This window comes from Homo sapiens, chromosome 16 (assembly GCF_000001405.40).
Source record: "Homo sapiens chromosome 16, GRCh38.p14 Primary Assembly".
Classification (NCBI taxonomy): domain Eukaryota; kingdom Metazoa; phylum Chordata; class Mammalia; order Primates; family Hominidae; genus Homo; species Homo sapiens.
In genome coordinates, this window is record NC_000016.10 from 67,413,714 (window position 1) to 67,429,228 (window position 15,515).

The following is a 15,515-nucleotide window of genomic DNA, read 5'->3' on the forward strand; positions in this document are numbered from 1 at the left end:
CAGATCACCTGAGGTCAGGAATTCGAGACCAGCCTGGCCAACATGGTGAAACCCGTCTCTACTAAAAATACAAAAATTAGCCAGGCATGGACGTGGGTGCCTGTAATCCCAGCTACTCTGGAGGCTGAGGCAGAAGAATCTCTTGAACCCAGGAGGTGGAGTTTGCAGTGAGCCGGGATCATGCCATTGCACTCCAGACTGGGCAACAGAGCGAGACTCCGTCTCAAAAAAAAAAAAAAAAAAAAAAAGTCTGATGCTATGGCAAGAAAAGCTTGAAACTCCAATTATTCCTGAGTTGACATGGTTTGCAAACATTTTCTGTGCCATTCTCCTCCTGAAGCAACCACTGCAAATTGTTTGGGATACAAATGAAGCCAAGGAAAGGGGACAAGTAGGAGGGAGTAACACAGAATAGAAACAAGGCCAGTGAAGAGAGGCCAAGGTTATTGACTTTAACCAGGAAATCAACTCATGACTGCAGGAGCCAGCCTTGGGGAACACCCACCACACAAGAGTCATTAAAAACAACGTTGTGACAGAACAAAGAAAGAAAAACAAAAACAAAACAAAACAATCTGGCTAATTAAGCACCACTGTTGCTTTTACTGCATCTCATGGTGATTATCTGTTTACAAACCCGTCTCCCACAGTGAACCACCAGTTCCACAAAAGCAGAGACCACCCCTCACCCGTGTCTGAACCCAGCTCTCTTTCAGTAAAGGAAGTCAAGCCACTTTTTTACCATCTCTGCTGTCATTACCCCAATCCAAACCTCCAGCATCGCTCTCCTACAGTGTTTGCATGATAATAACCAACACCAGCATTTAGAATGCACTTATTCTGTGCCAGGCACTGTTTCAGTGGAATTCACTCATTCAATCCTCATAGAGCTCTAAGGAAGGTCCTATCATTTCCAACTGTTCTTGTAGATCCCTGTAGTCACTGATTTCAGATGTGACTGGCCTCTCACTTCCTCATAAAAAACATACAGAACACCCACTCCCATCATGAGGACACTGAGGCTCAGAGACACTAAATGAGTTATTTTAGGAGGCACAGCTAGATTGGCAGAACTAGGATGGCCCTCAACTGACTTCCCGGTATGTCTGTCACAACCATGCTGCTCAGCAGCCAGAGTGAAGTGAGCTTTTCAAACGTGAAACTCATCCAAACTCTTCTTTGGGAGGCCAAGGTGGCTGGATCACCTGAGGTCAGGAGTTCAAGACCAGCCTGGCCAACATGTTGAAACCCCGTTTCTACTAAAAATACAAAAATTAGCTGGGTGTGGTGGCAGGCGCCTGTAATCCCAGACTTGGGGGGCTGAGGCAGGAGAATCGCTTGAACCCGGGAGGTGGAGGTTGCAGTGAGCCGAGATTGTGCCATTGCAGTCCAGCCTGGGTGACAGAGCGAGACTCCATCTGGAAAATAAAAATAAAAATAAACAAAAAATAAAAAACTCTTCTGCCGCTTGCAGTGGCTCACACCTGTAATCCCAGCACTTTGGGAGGCTGAGGCAAGAGGATCCCTTGAGACCAGGAGCTCGAGACCAGCCTGGGCAAAATAGTAAGACCTCATCTCTACCAAAACCTTAAAAAATTAGCTGAGCGTGGTGGCGGGTATCTGTAGTCTCAGCTACTTGGGAGGCTGAGGCGGGAGGATCGCTTGAGCCCGGGAGCCGGAGCCTGCGGTGACCCATGTTCACACCACAGCACTCCAGCCTGGGTGACAAAGGGAGACCTTGTCTCAAAAAAATAAAAAATTGGCTGGGAACGGTGGCTCACACCTGTAATCCCAACGCTTTCGGAGGCCGAGGCGGGTGGATCACCTGAGGTCAGGAGTTCGAGAACAGCCTGGCCAACATGGTGAAACCCCGTCCCTACTAAAAATATAAAACTTAGCCGGGCGTGGCGGCGGGCGCCTGTAATCCCAGCTACTCCAGAGGCTGAGGCAGCAGAATGGCTTGAACCCGGGAGGCGGAGGTTGCAATGACCCGAGTCGTGCCACTGCGCTCCATCCAGCCTGGGTGACAAGAGCGAAACTCCGTCTCAAAGAAAAAACTAAAACTCTTCCCATGGTTTCCTTTTAAAACAGACCCTCCATGACCAACCCCTCCATTTCAATACCAGAGAGCCTAACCCGACCTGAAATCACTTTAGTCATGTATGACATCCGCTTCCCAGCCCCCTTCCTTAATGCTCTGGGTTCTGGAGACAGACCACGTCTGTTGGGAGTCCTCTGTGCCCACGCCTGGCACAGAGCCTGGCAAAGAGTAAGCGCTCAAGGAAGATCTGTGAACTTGATGCATGCTAAAAGGAAGCCCCGCGCTCTGCCGGGGCCCTGGAACTCAGGCCACCGGCTCCAGGCGGAAGCGAGCCCAAAGCCGGCCAGGCGGCAGCATCCGCTACCCCGTGGCTCAAGCCAGGCTCCGAGGTGAGAAACCGGGCGGGGACTCCTCACCTGCGCGCCGCGGAGGCCGTGCCAGATGGGCCCTGCCAAAGTCAGCCAGAGGTTCGGGCCCCACGCCTGGCCTTCCACCCTCCCCGGGGCAGCCGCGCCTCAGACCCTCGCGGTAGGGACGGTCCCCGGGACTGGGCGGCAACGCGCCCGGGAGCGGGGCCCCATCCCGGACGGAGACTGGGCCGGTGAGTCCTCGAGCTCTGGCTCTGGCTCCGGCTCCGGCTCCGGCTCCGGCTCCGGCTCCGGCTCCAGCAGGCTGGAGGGGCGGCCAGGCCAGACCCAGACTGGCTGGGCCTCGTCCGGCGCTGGGCCCGTTCCCCTGACAACGGCGCGGGCTACGGCGCCCCACAGCGGCCAAACCGCGCTGCGTCACTCCGCGCCGGTCCCCCGGCCAGGGCGGGGCTTGCCAGGGACCCTCTTGGTGCCCCAGTCGGCCCATTCCCAGATTCTTCCTAACCTTTCGTCTAGAAAATCCGCTTTTCCCTACTCCCGAGTCACAGCTTGTCTCCCCGAAATCCTAACATCTCAAAAGCGCCCCCTTCCAGTTTCTATCCTGAGACCACCGCTCTCAAGAAGAGACCTCCCCCAACCCCAGTCAACCTGCACACTTCAATGAGCGTATGTGCTGGAACATCCATGATATCCCGACCCTTCCGGGAGCTTACAGGTTAAGAGGCAAACAGATCTAGACAAATAAATTACACCACTAAAAATGCAGGTACCCCAGAATATAAAGCGAGAAGCGTAAGAGCTTAAAATAAGCAGCACAAAATATCTCATTTATTTATTGCCTTTAAATCAAGCAAAAATCAAGCCCCAATCTTCCAGGCTGATGGGAAATTCAGTCTTTTTCTATTTTTTAAACTGGTCTCTGTTACCCAGGCTGGAGTGCAGTGGCACGATCACGGCTCTCTGCAGCCTCGAACTCCTGGGCTCAGGCGATCCTCCCGCCTCAGCCTCCAGAGTAGCTAGGACTACAGGCGAACACCACCACGCCCGACTAATTTTCGCATTTTTTTGTAGAGGCGTGGTTTTGCCATGTTGCCCAGGCTGGTTTCGAACTCCTGAACTCAAGCGACCCGCCCACCTCAGCCTCCAAAAGTGCTAGGATTACAGGCGTGAGCCCCTGCCCGGCCGGGAAATTCAGTCTCAGTCTCCACTGTACTCCTTTTAGCTAGGTAATTCCAAAGGACTCATGTTTTCCTATAGCAAAAAACAACAATCAAAAACAAATAAGCAAAAAACTCTCTGGTCAGGGTTTTGTCTGGTACTGAGGCCACAACCATTGCTCCAGTCCACAAAGATTTTCAGGTTTGGGCTCTATGAGGCCATCCCTGCCTGAGGCCCCTGCCTCTCCCTGGGGCTGCCAGGGACAGACACCTGCTTCCTCTGCTCCATGGCCTGCAGCCTCCCTTCCCTTTCTCTACCTGGGAGACTTCCCTGCTAACTTGGTTTCCCTAAAAGTCCCCTCTCCTCTTCTCCTTGTGGACACTCAGAATGGAATCTTCTATGAGCTCAGGCTTTCTCAAAAGACAGGAAGACACTTTGTCTTCTGCTATCTGTCCTGTGCGCATCTCCAAGGCAGATATGACAGATAGGGAAAGAAAACATCCTTATCTCTAAAATGTATAAGTCACAAGCATACTTATTGTATGTTTTATTAGGCAACATAACTACTCCTTCTCTGTCACATGACAGGTGTGTGGGTCCTTGTGCAAGTGACATAACCTATTACTTAAATTCTTGTTTTCAAGACTGATAAACTCAAACTCAATGTGAGATAAATATCAATGCTATTCTGGCTTCAGAGTACAAGCTGACTACTTAACTCTTATCTGGAATTGGAAAACTTCGGGTCAAACAGAGATCATGACCCAGAAATCAAGGTGAAGGATGAGGCTGGATGCAGTGGCTCACACCTGTAATCCCAGCACTTTAAGGAGGCTGAGGCAGGAAAATCACTTGAAGCCAGGAGTTTGAGACCAGCCTGGGATACATAGAGAGACTCCCATCTCTACAAAAGATGAAAAAAAATAGCTGGGCCTGGTGGCCTGTGCCTATAGTCCCAGCTACTCACGAGGCTGGGGCAGGAGAAAAGAATCACTTGAGTTCGGGAGTTCAAGATTGCAGTGAATTACGATCATGCCACTGCACTCCAGCCTGGGTGAAAGTAAGATCTTATCTCTCAGCTGGTCTCAGTGGCTCACACCTGTAATCCCAACACTTTGGGAGGCCAAGGCAGGTGGATCATGAGGTCAGGAGATCGAGACCATCCTGGCTAACACGGTGAAACCCCATCTCCACTAAAAGTACAAAGTAAGCCAGGCGTGATGGCATGTGCCTGTAGTCCCAGCTACTCGGGAGGCTGAGGCAAGAGAATGGCTTGAACCCAGGAGGCAGAGGTTGCAGTGACCCGAGATCGCACCACTCTACTCCAGCCTGAGTGACAGAGTGAGACTCTGTCACACACAAAAAAAATCTTATCTCTCTCTCTCTCTCTTTTTTTTTTTTTTTTGAGACGGAGTCTCGCTCTGTCTCCCAGGCTGGAGTGCAGTGGTGCGATCTCAGTTGACTGCAGCTTCCACCTCCCGGGTTCAGGCGATTCCCCTGCCTCAACCTCCCGAGTAGCTGGGATTACAGTTGCCTGCCACCATGGGATTGCAGGCATGAGCCACTGTGCCCGGTCAGATTTTATCTCTTTAAAAAATAATAATAAATAAATAAATATTTTAAAAAACAAGGTGGGACTGGGCATGGTGGCTCACACCTGTAATCTGAGCACTTTGGGAGGCCGAGGCAGGCAGATCACTAGAGGTCAGGAGTTTGAGACCAGCCTGGGCAACATGACGAAACCCTGTCTCTACCAAAAATACAAAAATTGGCCGGGCATGGTGGTCTGCGCCTGTAATCCCAGCTACTCGGGAGGCTGAGATGGGAGGATCGCTTGAACCCAGGAGGCAGAGGTTGCAGTGAGCCGAGATTGTGCCATTGCACTCCTTACAGGCGACAGAACAAGACTCTGTCTTTAAATAAATAAATAAATGCAAATACAAATAAAAATTAAAAAACAAAGTGAAAGATGAATCCATATATTCCCATAATAAGGGGAGGGACCCAAAAGACCCTGGATCCACTTGACTCAGGGGCTTCTCTCCTGGATGTCCCATTGGTGTCTGGGATGTAACACATCCCCACATGTCCTCTTTGTCCTTGCCACAAATCTGCTCCTCCCCTTGGGCCCTCTGAAGGGCACCACCATCTACCCAGTAAGCCCATCTGTACACTTAGGCATCTTCCCATGTCTCTCCTGCTAGTCCTTGCCCACCTAAACCAGATAGTGCCTGTGACCAGGCTGCCCTCACTCTGAAACACATTCTGTGTCCATTCTTCCTGCTCCACCCCAGCCCAGACCACCAGCATCTTCCTTGCTGAGCCTGCAGCAGCCTCCAGTTCTCCCTAACATCAGCCTGCCCACTTCCGGCCCATCCTCCTCTCAGTTGCCAGACTATCCTTCCTTCTCTTTGTTAGAGGAGGTAGTAGTCTGAATGATAGCGCCACAATGATGTCATCGCCCTAATCCCTGGAATCTTTGAATGTGTTATGTGATACATCAAAGGGGATTTTGCAGATGAGATGAAGTTAAGATCTCAAGATGGAAGAGATTATCCCAGGTTATCTGAGTGAGCTCAATGTAGTCACAAAGGTCCTTATAAGAGGGAGGCAGGAGGGTCACATGGGAGAAGGACCACGTAACGACAGAGGTCAGAGAGATTTGAAGGTGCTACACTGTGGGCTTTGAAGATGGAGGAAGGGGCCTGAGCCAAGGAATGCAGGCAGCCTCTAGATGCTGGAAAAGGCTAGGGGGCAGACCCTCCTCTAGAGGCTCCAGAAGGAATCAGCCTGCTGTTACCTCGACTCTAGCCCAGGGGGACCCATTTCCAACTTCTGACCTCAAGAACTGTCAAGATGACACAATTGGCAGTGATTTGTTTCAGCAGCAATAGGAAATGGATACAGTGGTTTGCAAACAGGGTTAAGTGCACATATATATGCCCAGTGAAAGCTGTTTTCAATTGAAACAAAAATCCAAGAGACAGCTCAGATTCCTTTGACATCTTTTATTTTTTAAGCGGGCGGGAGGGGGGTGGTTGGGGGGGCAGGGGATGAGTTCTCTCTCTGTCACACAGCCTAGAGCAGAGTGCCGTGATCTTGGCTCACTGCAGCCTCCGTCTCCTGGGCTCAAACGATCCTCCCACCTCAGCCTCCTGAGTAGCTCGGACTACAGGCATACACCATCACACCTTGCTCGGGGTTTTTTTTGTTTTTTTTTTTTTTTTGTACTTTTGATACAGACAGGGTCTTGCTATGTTGCCCAGGCTGATCTCAAACTCCTGAGCTCAAGCCATCCACCCACCTCAGCCTCCCAAAATGCTGGGATTACAGGCATGAGCCATGGCGCCTGGCCTCCCTTGACATCTTTTTGCATGACTCCAAGCCAGGTTCTGTGAGAAGATGATTCTCTCACCCCAAATCTGCTTTTGAAAAGCACAGGCAGTTTGATCATGCTTTTTTTTTTTTTTTGAGACGGAGTCACCCAGGCTGGAGTGCAGTGGCGCAATCTTGGCTCACTGCAACCTCCACTTCCCAGGTTCAAGCAATTCTCCTGCCTCGGCCTCCTGAGTAGCTGGGATTACAGGCCTGTACCACCACACCCAGCTAATTTTTGTATTTTTAGTAGAGTTGGGGTTTCACCAGGTTGACCAGGCTGGTCTCGAACTCCTGACCTCAAGTTGATCATGCTCTTTCTGAGTCTGTCATCCTTGTGTGGTCCCCAATCCAGAAGCTGACACTGCACAGGGCATCACCGACTGAGGAAAGTCACACGTTGCCTGGCAGGTGCCAGAGAAATCTTTCTAAATGTGAAAACACCACCTCATCAGCCTTGCTTAAGAGATTCCAGGGCTCCCTTTTGCCTTTAGGATCAACTGAAATGACAAAGTGTGGCTTCCAATGCCCTGCTGGGCAGGCTTCTGGTATGTGGAGCTTCTTCCTGTCCTCTGTGACGATTCTGCAGCTCCTGGAACTGGCAACATCTGTTTTCACCCTCAGGCTTCTTCCCACAGGGTTCTCTTTAACTTGTGCTGTTCCAGCTCCTCCCGACAACACCCCCTCCCCAACCTGGCCAATTTCTATGAAAACTTGAGACCATTTTATAGAAGTCAGCCCCTTGGGCAGGACTTGTTCCTAGCCAGAGCTGCAGCCAGTGATTCGCAAGGGAGGTCTGCCCAGGATAGAACAGCCAAGGGCCACAGGGAGAAAAAGGCCAATTGTGGTTTTCCAGGTGTGCACACACACATGTGAGCTGACTTACAGGGCTCCTGGGAGCTGCCAGAGGTGACTCCACAGGGACAAAGCTGGATCAGCCCACCCTGGGCCTGAACCAACAGATACGTCCATAATTAGAGCCAGTGTGATCCCAGGGTTCCGGGCACTCTTCACCTGTCCCAGGGCAGGTTAGTGGTTCAATCTTCATGGTGCCAGTTATAAGATGGTGACCTTGGGTAATTTTTTTTTTTGAGGCGGCATCTTGCTTTGTCACCCAGGCTGGAGTGCAGTTGCACAATCTCGGCTCACTGCAACCTCCACCTCCCAGGTTCAAGCAATTCTCCTGCCTCAGCCTCCTGAGTAGCTGAGATTACAGGTGCCCACCACCATGCCTGGCTAATTTTTGTTTTTGTTTGTTTGCTTGTTTGTTTTTGTTTTGCTTTTTTTTTTTTTTTTTTTCCTAGTAGAGACAGGGTTTCACCATGTTGGCCAAGCTGGTCTCCAACTCCTGGCCTCAAGCGACCCGCCCGCCTCAGCCTCCAAAAGTGCTGGGGATTACAGACGTGAGCCACTGCACCCAGCCATAAATTCTTCAACTTTAATAATCTCAATTTGCTTGTATTTGAAATGGGGGTAACAATAGCTACTGCCTAGGGCTGTGATGAGGCCTGAAAATGTGGCCATGCATATAGAGCACCCAAAGAGTGCTCGATGGGTAGTAATCACTGGTGCCTCCCATCCAGACCGTCCTTGTCTTTCTACCAGGAAATGATGCTGTCCGCATCATCAACGAATGGAAGTAAATTTAATTATTAAATTAGACTGGGTGGGAGATGATCAGCCACAGCTCTCGCTCTCTGGGCCCACTTCGTCTGGGTCACAGTACCCTCTCCAATGGGCCCTGGATGACTCAGCCCATCCACTTGGCGTGTCTTCATGGCCACCAGCATCTCTTGCCCTGGCTTTCTGACTGGCTCTTGATTTCCACGGGGGCCCTCCCTGTCCCCGTCCCCACCCCTATCAGTCCATTCTCCTTACAGCCTGTGGCTGTCTTAGAACAAAAACAAAATTTAAAAAATCCACGCCAAGCTGATTCTTTTACTTCCTGCTTACAACCCTCAACAACACTCCCCACTCCTTAGGGAGAGGTATTTCCATATACCATGAAATTGGAATAGAAACCTCCTCCTCACTGTGGCCACCGCAGTCTCCAAGACCTTGCGTGCCCCCTGGCTCAGGCTGACCACAGCTCTGTCTATCCCACGGCCTTTGCATTTGAAGCTCACACTACCTGGAAACTTACTTCCTCTGGGAAAGCCCTCTGTGGTCCCCAGAATAGAGACCATCATTCCCATAGCACCGTGGGACTCTGCTTTCTCGTTCCTTCTCTCTGGGTCTCCTTGATTGTGTAATGATCTGATAAGGGCCTGTCCCTCCAGTCAGACAGAAGAGGAGGGAATTATTATTCCTCCCACAGGGGAGGAATAATGTTTGTATTGTTTACTATTGCTTCCCTAGCACAGAGCCCAGAACATACTAAGCACTCAAGAAATGTGTGTTGAGGCTGCTGTAATCCCAGCACTTACTAAGCCCAGAACATACTAAGCACTCAAGAAATGTGTGTTGAGGCCGCTGTAATCCCAGCACTTTCGGAGGCCAAGGTGGGAGGATTGTTTGAGCCCAGGAGTTCAAGACCAGCCTGGGCAACATAGCAAGACCCTGTGTTTACAAAAAATTTAAAAATTAGCGGTGCATGATGACGCATGCCTGTAGTCCAAGCTACTCAGGAGGCTGAGAAGGGGAGGATCCCTGGAGCCCAGGAGTTCGAGGCTGCAGTGACCTATGAGTGACTGCACCACTGTAGCCTGGGCAACAAAGCAAGACTCTGTCTCTAAAAATAATAATCATAAAGAAAGAAATGTGTGTCAAACACGTGAAGAATAAAAAAGGATAGCGCTACTTATAGGAATTCTTCTGTGAAGCCTTGTGTAAATAACCAAATTATTTTTGTGTAAAAATGGACTTTCCTATATTATCCCACCTCTTCAACATAGTAAATCTATTTTTTCCATGTTCCTTGTTAAGCTTTTTGTAAAATTTGCTGCATTCAAGGCACTTTCCTCCCATTAATTTTCTTCCCTGTTAAGTGGTTTTTACGACCACTTCATGCTTTAAGCAAGAAGTGCCATTTAGTATTTAAAATATTCTCTCAGCTTTCTTGGTGAGATCTTTGGCAACCTTCCTACTGTTGATTGTAACTGGTGCGACTTGGAACACGATGTCACTCTTCCAGAACTCTTCTCAGACCTAGATAAAACTTACTCTGTGTCACCAGTTGGGGACAAGGTGTTTGGAAACAGTACCTTATGCAACAGAACTGCTGGAGGGCCGCCCCTCAGAGGCAAATGAAATAAAAATCATGGTGTGTGGAAAATGTGCCCGCAGAGTCCCAGGAACCAAAGATTTTAAAGCTTCTCTGCCAGTAATTCAGTTTTTATTTTATGTTTCTTGGAAAACTGAAGTCTTGTGTTTACCACGTGTCACCTAAGATGCAGAAAGGGGGAAAAAAGTGATCCTGGTTGGTGAAGATTTCCATTTCAATGGCAGCCTGGTCCAAGCTGTTCTCTTGCAACTGACTCCCGCCTCTCCCCCACCAGCCCCCTCCCGCCCCTGCACAGGCTCCCTGGGGAGGGGTATTTCCTTTCAGTGTGAAATCTGTCTTTTTGCTCGCTCATTTCTATGGGGAATGGCACATCCATGCAAAGTTGTTGGCTGCTCTTATTTTATTTCAAAAATGTGCTGGCCTCAGACACCTGAAGTTTTCCTCGAATACTTTAAAGCAAATTATGTGCAGGAACCTCTCAGACCTGCTCTCACCGGAATTTCCTTTGAGTGTTCATATCTCAGAGCCTTATGTAACCTGACACAATTATCTGAAAAAGCTTGGAATCCAAAAGAAAGGTGTTCTGAGCTAGGAATGAAGGTCAGAGCTGGGAAAGAAGTGCTCTCCCTTGCCTGGGGACTGGGTCACACTTCACTACGACAATGCCCAATTCACGTTCCAAAGAAAAAATACTAAACCTCTGGCAGGGTGACCAGTGGGTACACTCGCCTCATTTCTCTGAACAAGGAATCGCTTAATGAGGGCTCCCGGGGCATTACAAAGCCTTGGACCTGGCTGGCGGTTAAAAATATTTCGATAACCACCTCCAGCTTCTGGCCTTCCCAGGATGGAAGCAGGAGTGGCTTGGGCCCCTTTAGGAGAATAACCCCTCCGCTGACTGCAAAAATCAACCCAGCTGGACAGTTGGGGTCTCGTGCCGGAGGTCAGTGCTGCAAATGGGGTATAGGTGGGGGTCTGGAATTCACATTTTTATACCAAGTGGTTGGTCTAGGTGATTTGACTCAAGCCTGGCCCAAGACTCCCCCGCCCCAGCCCACTCCCAACACAAGGCGGAAGGAGAGCGAGGACATTAACTGTAAGTACAGACCTAAAACTGGGGGCAACCAGGAGATGACCCCGCATTCTGGAAAGCCCTCAGGCCAAGAAGCTCTTTTTCTTCTTGAGAAATATCAACCCTGCTCGATATTTGCATACCAGCGGTGAGGGACCTCCACGGAGCAGAGGCACCACTCATAGGTGGTTGACTTTTCAAGGAATTCGCTGGAGAAAATTGTACGCAAGGCTGTGAACAAAACCCCCCTCCATCTGGTTTCAGTTTATTTAAAAAAACAACACACACAGTCCTCCCCACCAGCAATCAGAAGACAGCCACAGCTTCCCCAGGGGGCGTATTAGCCACCAGGGGTGGGGCTGAATTATGTATATGCAAATAAATTAAAACAGCCAGCCAACAGCAACTAATTTTTGTATCTTTTGCAGTTGTTGTGCCAAGAAAAGGCCTGAATCAGGGTGATGGAAGCTGTAAGGAGACAAGTTTGGAATGAGTTTTAACAATCAAGTTGCCTCAATTCCGTCGTTGGGAGACTTGTTTTTAATCGAGCAGCAAATAGCAAAAGGTCGGTAGCCTTATCCTTATGTATAGGATAAGGATAATGATAGTACCTACTTCATAGTGATGACGTGAGGATAGTAAATAAAATAAAGACCAAGCAAGCTAAGCACAAGGACTGGCATGCCACAAACACACAACCACACTGGAGGATACAAGACGGATCCTAGAAGGATTTCATCCAGAGTCAGTCAAGCTCTCCCTCCAAATGCTCTCAGCTGAGGCTTGCTTTCCGCCTGGGACTGGTCCAGAAAGCCCTGCAGAACATACTCTCTCTGTTTCCCAAACTCAAGGACCCTAATCCCCAAACATCTGCCTTTAATCCTGGAGACAGTAAAAGTTCGGAGGAGGGTGCCAGACACAGGCTGAAAACACAAGTGATGCTCCTGGCTTTCTGTGTCTTACTGCCTCCCTCTCTGGTAACTGGAGGGGAGGTTTCCTTCAGTTCCGTAACTGAAGGGCCTGGTTTCCAGGTGCCCAGCCCAGATGGGATAGCTCTGAAAAATGGTGGAGGCAGGGGCGAGTTCAGTTCATGCCTAGGGTAATCAGAGGGGAGTCGGCAACCTCCAGGGCTCCCACGCTACAGGAGCAACATGCTGGAGCCCACAGGCTTCCACCTGCCTTGGGGCTCAGCCTTTGCATGTTCAGGGGTGCCTCAAGCTCAGTTTGTTTGAACAGACCTCTGCTCCGTCCCTCATCTGGATGCAGGAACAAGACTCCCAGCCTCAAGAATCACTTGAAGCCAGCAGTTCAAGACCAGCCTGGGCAACATAGTGAGACCCCTGTCTCTACAAAAAATTTAAAAAACAATAGCCAGGTGTGGTGGTGAGTGCCTGTAGTCCCAGCTACTACGGAGGCCTGAGATGGCAGGATCGCCTGAGCCCAGGAGTTCAAGGCTGCAGTGAGCCGTGATTGTGCCACTGTACTCCAGCCTGGGTGACAGAGCAAGACTCCATCTCTAACTAAAAGTAATAATAATAATAATAAAGTAATAATCATAATAAAATTTAAGAGTGATAATAATAATTTAGTCAGCCTCCACTCTTCCCCAGATCCATTTCCTGTCCACCTGGGATGGGGGTCTCATTTGCTCAAAACCATTCCAAGCTCTCCTTTGCCCTCAGGATGAAGTCTAAGATGCCACAGGTGACCAACACAGCCCCGTATTAACACAGTTCTCAAGAGCCCAGACTTTGGGTTCAGGTACACCTGAGTTTGAATCTTGGGGCTGGTCCAAGACTCCAACGCAAGTGGAACTTGAGAGCTTGAGCAATTCCCTTCACCTCTGGAAGCCTCAGTTCCCTTGAATGTAAAATGGTGATAATGACAACTACTACAAAGGCTATGATGAGGTATCTGCACCCAACCCAGGGCTTGGGACACAGCAAGAGATTTGGAGGCCAGTGCATGGCATGAAGATTGAGGATGTGGTGGGGCACGATGGCTGCCAGGACCAGCTTTAGACATGCTGAGGCTGAGGGGCCTATGTGTGTCCAAGGGAAGTGTCCAGGGGCAGCTGGACATGTGGGCCTGTGGTCAAAAGGGAGAGCTTGGCCAGAAAGCAAGCAGGGAGGTCGCCAGCATGTGAGTAGAAAGATGAGCTCATGGTGTGGGGAGGGCCGAGGGTGAGGCCTCTACAGCCAGAGCTTCACCCACAAGGAAGAGAAGCTGGAGAAGGAGGCTGAGAAGGAGAGGCAGTGAGGTCGGAGGAAACCCGGCAGCCGTGGCTTCGCAGGCACCCAAGGGAGACAGGGCTTGGGGCAGGAAAGAGAGGTCAGCAGGGCCGAGGCTTTGAAGAGGCCAAATTAGCTGAAGCCAGAGATGAGTCTATGGGATTTGGGGACTAGGGGGTTACGATTGGGAGCTGGTCCCAGGCAAAGGCTGGGAGGGGAGAGTGGTGATGGTGATTATGGACAACTTTAGAGAAATGCAGCTGAAAACAGTAGGAGAAAACACAAGAGAGATGCTTTTTTTTTTTTTTTTTTTTTTTTTTTGAAACAGAGTCTTGCTCTGTCACGCAGGCTGGGGTGCGGTGAGTAGTACAATCTCGGCTCACTGCAATCTCCGCCTCCCACATTCAAGAGATTCTCCTGCCTCAGTCTCATGAGTAGCTGGGACTACAGGCATGCATCACCATACCTGGCTAATTTTTGGATTTTTAGTAGAGGCAGGGTTTCGCCATGTTGGCCAGGCTGGTCTCGAACTCCTGACCTTAGGTGATCCGCCTGCCTTGGCCTTCCAAAGTGCTGGGATTACAGGCGTGAGCCACCACGCCCAGCCACAAGAGAGATGCTTGTGGAAAGGGATACGGGCTTGAGGTTCCCAATGGGTGAGGCTAGCGCCAGTACACTTGCTGCTGGGGCCAGTAGTCAGTTGCTATATCTGTGGTGCCCAGCACAGGGCCTGGCATGCAGTAGGAACTCAATACAAGTTTGTTGTCTTTGAGGACAGGGAGCAATGGGGTCTAGGACCCTGGCCACTGGCAGGAAGAGGGACCCTCTGCCATTCTGCCAAGAGGAGGCATGGTGGGGGTGAAGGCGTGAAGCAGAGTGCAGGGCAGGGGCTCCTTGGGAATCTGCAGCCTCTTAGCTGCAGAGGGAAGAGGAGGTGACAAGTCAGTGCTGAGTGCTCTGCTCCAGGAACCCAAGTACAGTCAGAGGACAGAGCGAGAGGGCTCCTGGAGTCTGCCACTTGGTACCCCCTACTGTAGACATCTGTTCCCCTCTCCTCAACCCAGCAGCCGGTGGGTTACCTGGTCTTTAGCTCCTTCAGAGCCGTGCTCTCCCTACACGGCCAGCAGAGGGTACCAGTGAGCTGCTGGACTCCGCTGGAGGAGACCAGAGCCCGCCTGCCCACCCCTTTGTCCTCCAGAGCCTGGGGCGTGCTAAGGGTTTGGTTAACCAGGTTTCTGACCAAGGCGGGTTGGAGGCTGGGACAAAGGACTAAGGGAGGCTGTGGGCTGAGGGCTTAGGGGCCGAGTGGCTCAGGTGCTCTGCTCCTGGTCACCCTTCATTCCTCTGCCCTGCCAGGCCCTGCTTTATCTGTTGAGGCTCCTGCCCACTGCCCCTCTCCGCTTCTCTTCCCTGGAGGCCCCTGACAGCCTAGACTCCTGCTTCTAGCAGAGGCTGGTTTTCTGCCCCTAGGCAGGCACGACTTGGCAACAGGCCTCAGACAGGGCTGGGCCAGCTTCTGCCAGCAATGACTGCCCTAACCACCTTGTACTTCTAGAACGTCTCCACCTAATAAGGGATAAGGGGTCAGTGGTTGAGGAGGCCACAGGAGCTGGAGCATAGGTCCTGGGAAGGAGGAGGCTTGGACTAGGAAGTGGGATGAATGGGCAGGGGGAGTTTATATAAAAATGTGGCAGATGGTCCAGTCCCACCAAGACCCAAATCCCATAAGACTAATGGCTCTGCCTGAGGTGGCACGAGGTTCCAGAAGCTGAGCTGGAAACACCCCCTTCCTCATCCTAACCATGTTATACTCTTCAGCCAAACGCAAATCCCAACATCGCCTCCTGGCAAGTCTGTCCCCATGGTGGCCTTCACGGTTCCTTCCCAGGACAGTGTAGGACCCTGCTTCTGCCTCTTTCCTTATCTTGCCTTCCTGCCCCATCCCCCTACTCTTCAACTCCTGCTTTAGCAAGTGCTGGTTCTATCTGTGTTGCCTTGACCTTGAAGGCTCCCCAGGACCCTCATCTCAGCTTCTACTCCCTTCCTC

General features: G+C 50.7%; 1 protein-coding gene and 1 long non-coding RNA gene across 7 annotated transcripts in view, besides 8 other annotated features; one reads left to right on the plus strand and one right to left on the minus strand.

Annotated features, from left to right (window-relative positions):
• The window catches only part of ZDHHC1 (zDHHC palmitoyltransferase 1), a 22,326-nt gene extending 19,562 nt beyond the window's left edge, over nt 1–2,764 (minus strand). For all 6 annotated transcript variants that reach the window (XM_024450247.2, XM_024450246.2, NM_013304.3 and 3 more), the window contains exon 1: nt 2,458–2,764. The gene's annotated coding sequence lies outside the window, so the exon portion shown is untranslated. The remainder of the gene's footprint in view (nt 1–2,457) is intronic.
• LOC124903702 (uncharacterized) lies at nt 2,190–12,818 on the plus strand. Its single transcript, XR_007065093.1, has 2 exons — nt 2,190–2,430; nt 11,666–12,818. It is a non-coding gene; the product is annotated as an uncharacterized LOC124903702 (long non-coding RNA).
• Nucleotides 2,431–2,820: a silencer, noted in NCBI's record as "silent region_7603". NCBI's record gives its function as "represses an Ori minimal core promoter by ATAC-STARR-seq in GM12878 lymphoblastoid cells {active_cell/tissue: GM12878}" and the evidence as "EXISTENCE:reporter gene assay evidence [ECO:0000049][PMID:35858748]".
• Nucleotides 2,431–3,310: a biological region, named in NCBI's record as "H3K27ac-H3K4me1 hESC enhancer GRCh37_chr16:67450269-67450926".
• Nucleotides 2,653–3,310: an enhancer, noted in NCBI's record as "H3K27ac-H3K4me1 hESC enhancer chr16:67450269-67450926 (GRCh37/hg19 assembly coordinates)". NCBI's record gives its function as "activates a minimal SCP1, AML or CMV promoter by ChIP-STARR-seq in naive H9 embryonic stem cells {active_cell/tissue: H9 hESC(naive)}" and the evidence as "EXISTENCE:reporter gene assay evidence [ECO:0000049][PMID:30033119]".
• Nucleotides 7,221–7,792: an enhancer, noted in NCBI's record as "H3K27ac-H3K4me1 hESC enhancer chr16:67454837-67455408 (GRCh37/hg19 assembly coordinates)". NCBI's record gives its function as "activates a minimal SCP1, AML or CMV promoter by ChIP-STARR-seq in primed H9 embryonic stem cells {active_cell/tissue: H9 hESC(primed)}" and the evidence as "EXISTENCE:reporter gene assay evidence [ECO:0000049][PMID:30033119]".
• Nucleotides 7,353–7,647: a silencer, noted in NCBI's record as "tiled region #9078; K562 Repressive non-DNase unmatched - State 21:Repr". NCBI's record gives its function as "represses a minimal TATA promoter and a strong SV40 promoter by Sharpr-MPRA in K562 cells {active_cell/tissue: K562}" and the evidence as "EXISTENCE:reporter gene assay evidence [ECO:0000049][PMID:27701403]".
• Nucleotides 10,512–11,106: an enhancer, noted in NCBI's record as "H3K27ac-H3K4me1 hESC enhancer chr16:67458128-67458722 (GRCh37/hg19 assembly coordinates)". NCBI's record gives its function as "activates a minimal SCP1, AML or CMV promoter by ChIP-STARR-seq in naive H9 embryonic stem cells {active_cell/tissue: H9 hESC(naive)}" and the evidence as "EXISTENCE:reporter gene assay evidence [ECO:0000049][PMID:30033119]".
• Nucleotides 14,302–14,836: an enhancer, noted in NCBI's record as "H3K4me1 hESC enhancer chr16:67461918-67462452 (GRCh37/hg19 assembly coordinates)". NCBI's record gives its function as "activates a minimal SCP1, AML or CMV promoter by ChIP-STARR-seq in primed H9 embryonic stem cells {active_cell/tissue: H9 hESC(primed)}" and the evidence as "EXISTENCE:reporter gene assay evidence [ECO:0000049][PMID:30033119]".
• Nucleotides 14,837–15,371: an enhancer, noted in NCBI's record as "H3K4me1 hESC enhancer chr16:67462453-67462987 (GRCh37/hg19 assembly coordinates)". NCBI's record gives its function as "activates a minimal SCP1, AML or CMV promoter by ChIP-STARR-seq in naive and primed H9 embryonic stem cells {active_cell/tissue: H9 hESC(naive and primed)}" and the evidence as "EXISTENCE:reporter gene assay evidence [ECO:0000049][PMID:30033119]".